Genomic DNA, 3,408 nt, shown 5'->3' with positions numbered 1-3,408 from the left:
TTTATTTTTCCAAAAGCCAAGTTTTTGTTTCTTTCATATTTTCTATGGTTTTCTTCATTTATTTCATTTAATTCTGTTGATATTTATTATTTCTTGTAATTTGGGGTTTGTTTTGCTTTTGCTTTTCTAGTTTGTTAAGATGCATCATTAGGTTGTTTGAGTTTTCTTTTTTGATGTAGGTGCTTATAGCTATAAACTTCTTACTACTGCTTTTGCTGTATCCAGTAGGTTTTGGTATGTGTGTTTCCATTATTTGTTTCAAGAAAAATTTTGAATTTCCTTCTTTAATTTCTACATTGACTCACTGGTCATGCAGGAGCATATAGTTTAATTTCTTTTTATTATTATTATTATTATACTTTAAGTTTTAAGGTACATGTGCACAATGTGCATGTTAGTTACATATGTATACATGTGCCATGCTGGTGTGCTGCACCCATTAACTCGTCCTTTAGCATTAGGTATATCTCCTAATGCTATCCCTCCCCCCTCCCCCCACCACACAACAGTCCCCAGAGTGTGATGTTCCCCTTCCTGTGTCCATGTGTTCTCATTGTTCAATTCCCATCTATGAGTGACAGTGTGCGGTGTTTGGTTTTTTGTCCTTGCGATAGTTTACTGAGAATGATGATTTCCAATTTCATCCATGTCCCTACAAAGGACATGAACTCATCATTTTTTATGGCTGCATAGTATTTCATGGTGTATATGTGCCACATTTTCTTAATCCAGTCTATCATTGTTGGACATCTGGGTTGGTTCCAAGTCTTTGCTATTATGAATAGTGCCACAATAAACATACGTGTGCATGTGTCTTTATAGCAGCATGATTTATAATCCTTTGGGTATATACCCAGTAATGGGATGGCTGGGTCAAATGGTATTTCTAGTTCTAGATACCTGAGGAATCGCCACACTGACTTCCACAATGGTTGAACTAGTTTACAGTCCCACCAACAGTGTAAAAGTGTTCCTATTTCTCCACATCCTCTCCAGCACCTGTTGTTTCCTGACTTTTTAATGATTGCCATTCTAACTGGTGTGAGATGGTATGTCATTGTGGTTTTGATTTGCATTTCTCTGATGGCCAGTGATGATGAGCATTTTTTCACGTGTCTTTTGGCTACATAAATGTCTTCTTTTGAGAAGTGTCTGTTCATATCCTTCGCCCACTTTTTGATGGGGCTGTTTGTTTTTTTCTTGTAAATTTGTTTGAGTTCATTGTAGATTCTGGATATTAGCCCTTTGTCAGATGAGTAGGTTGCGAAAATTTTCTCCCATTTTGTAGGTTGCCTGTTCACTCTGATGGTAGTTTCTTTTGCTGTGCAGAAGCTCTTCAGTTTAATGAGATCCCATTTGTCAATTTTGGCTTTTGTTGCCATTGCTTTTGGTGTTTTAGACATGAAGTCCTTGCCCATGCCTATGTCCTGAATGGTAATGCCTAGGTTTTCTTCTAGGGTTTTTATGGTTTTAGGTCTAATGTTTAAGTCTTTAATCCATCTCGAATTAATTTTTGTGTAAGGTGTAAGGAAGGGATCCAGTTTCAGCTTTCTATATATGGCTAGCTAGTTTTCCCAGCACCATTTATTAAATAGGGAATCGTTTCCCCATTGCTTGTGGGCTTCATCCCTGGGATGCAAGGCTGAAGTGGGCTTCATCCCTGGGATGCAAGGCTGGTTCAATATATGCAAATCAATAAATGTAATCCAGCATATAAACAGAACCAAAGACAAAAACCACATGATTATCTCAATAGATGCAGAAAAGGCCTTTGACAAAATTCAACAACCCTTCATGCTAAAAACTCTCAATAAATTAGGTATTGATGGGACGTGTCTCTATAAGAGCTATCTATGACAAACCCACAGCCAATATCATACTGAATGGGCAAAAACTGGAAGCATTCCCTTTGAAAACTGGCACAAGACAGGGATGCCCTCTCTCACCACTCCTATTCAACATAGTATTGGAAGTTCTGGCCAGGGCAATTAGGCAGGAGAAGGAAATAAAGGGTATTCAGTTAGGAAAAGAGGAAGTCAAATTGTCCCTGTTTGCAGATGACATGATTGTATATCTGGAAAACCCCATTGTCTCAGCCCAAAATCTCCTTAAGCTGATAAGCAACTTCAGCAAAGTCTCAGGATACAAAATCAATGTACAAAAATCAGAAGCATTCTTATACACCAATAACAGACAAACAGAGAGCCAAATCATGAGTGAACTCCCATTCACAATTGCTTCAAACAGAATAAAATACCTAGGAATCCAACTTACAAGGGATGTGAAGGACCTCTTCAAGGAGAACTACAAACCACTGCTCAAGGAAATAAAAGAGGATACAAACAAATGGAAGACCATTCCATGCTCATGGGTAGGAAGAATCAATATCGTGAAAATGGCCATACTGCCCAAGGTAATTTATAGATTTAATGCCATCCCCATCAAGCTACCAATGACTTTCTTCACTGAATTGGAAAAAACTACTTTAAAGTTCACATGGAACCAAAAAAGAGCCCGCATCGCCAAGTCAATCCTAAGCAAAAAGAACAAAGCTGGAGGCATCACGCTACTTGACTTCAAACTATACTACAAGGCTACAGCAACCAAAACAGCATGGTACTGGTACCAAAACAGAGATATAGATCAATGGAACAGAACAGAACCCTCAGAAATAACGCCGCATATCTACAACTATCTGATCTTTGACAAACCTCAGAAAAACAAGCATATACTTTAATTTCTTTTTTTTTTTTTTTTTTTTTTTTTTTTGAGACGGAGTCTCGCTCTGTCGCCCAGGCTGGAGTGCAGTGGCGGGATCTCGGCTCACTGCAAGCTCCGCCTCCCGGGTTCACGCCATTCTCCTGCCTCAGCCTCCCAAGTAGCTGGGACTACAGGCGCCCGCCACTACGCCCGGCTAATTTTTTGTATTTTTAGTAGAGACGGGGTTTCACCGTTTTAGCCGGGATGGTCTCGATCTCCTGACTTCGTGATCCGCCCGCCTCGGCCTCCCAAAGTGCTGGGATTACAGGCGTGAGCCACCGCGCCCGGCCCTAATTTCTAAGTGTTTCTATAGTTTCCCAAATTCCTTATTTTTGATTTCTCATTATATTCCATTGTGATCACAGCAGATACTTTATATGATTTCAATTATTCTGAATGTTTTAAGACTTATTTTGTGGCCTAACTTATGTTCTATTCTTGAGAATAATCTATGTGCTGAGGAGAAGAATGTGTATTCTGTGGCTGGGATCAAATGGTCTGTAAATATTAGGTCCATTTGGTCTGTAATGCAGATTAAGTCTGATGTTTCTTTGTTGATTATCTGTCTGGATGATCTGTCCAATGCTGAAAGTGGGGTGCTGAAGTTTCCAGCTATTATTGTACTGGGTTCTATCTCTTGTTAACTCT

At 39.3% G+C, this 3,408-nt stretch overlaps 1 annotated feature.

The window, feature by feature from the left end:
• Positions 2,487 to 2,987: an enhancer, noted in NCBI's record as "H3K4me1 hESC enhancer chr9:111494497-111494997 (GRCh37/hg19 assembly coordinates)". NCBI's record gives its function as "activates a minimal SCP1, AML or CMV promoter by ChIP-STARR-seq in primed H9 embryonic stem cells {active_cell/tissue: H9 hESC(primed)}" and the evidence as "EXISTENCE:reporter gene assay evidence [ECO:0000049][PMID:30033119]".

Source organism: Homo sapiens, chromosome 9 (genome assembly GCF_000001405.40).
Source record: "Homo sapiens chromosome 9, GRCh38.p14 Primary Assembly".
Lineage (NCBI taxonomy): Eukaryota > Metazoa > Chordata > Mammalia > Primates > Hominidae > Homo > Homo sapiens.
Note: the sequence above shows the minus strand (reverse complement) of the source record. Positions and strands in the feature narration are given on the sequence as shown.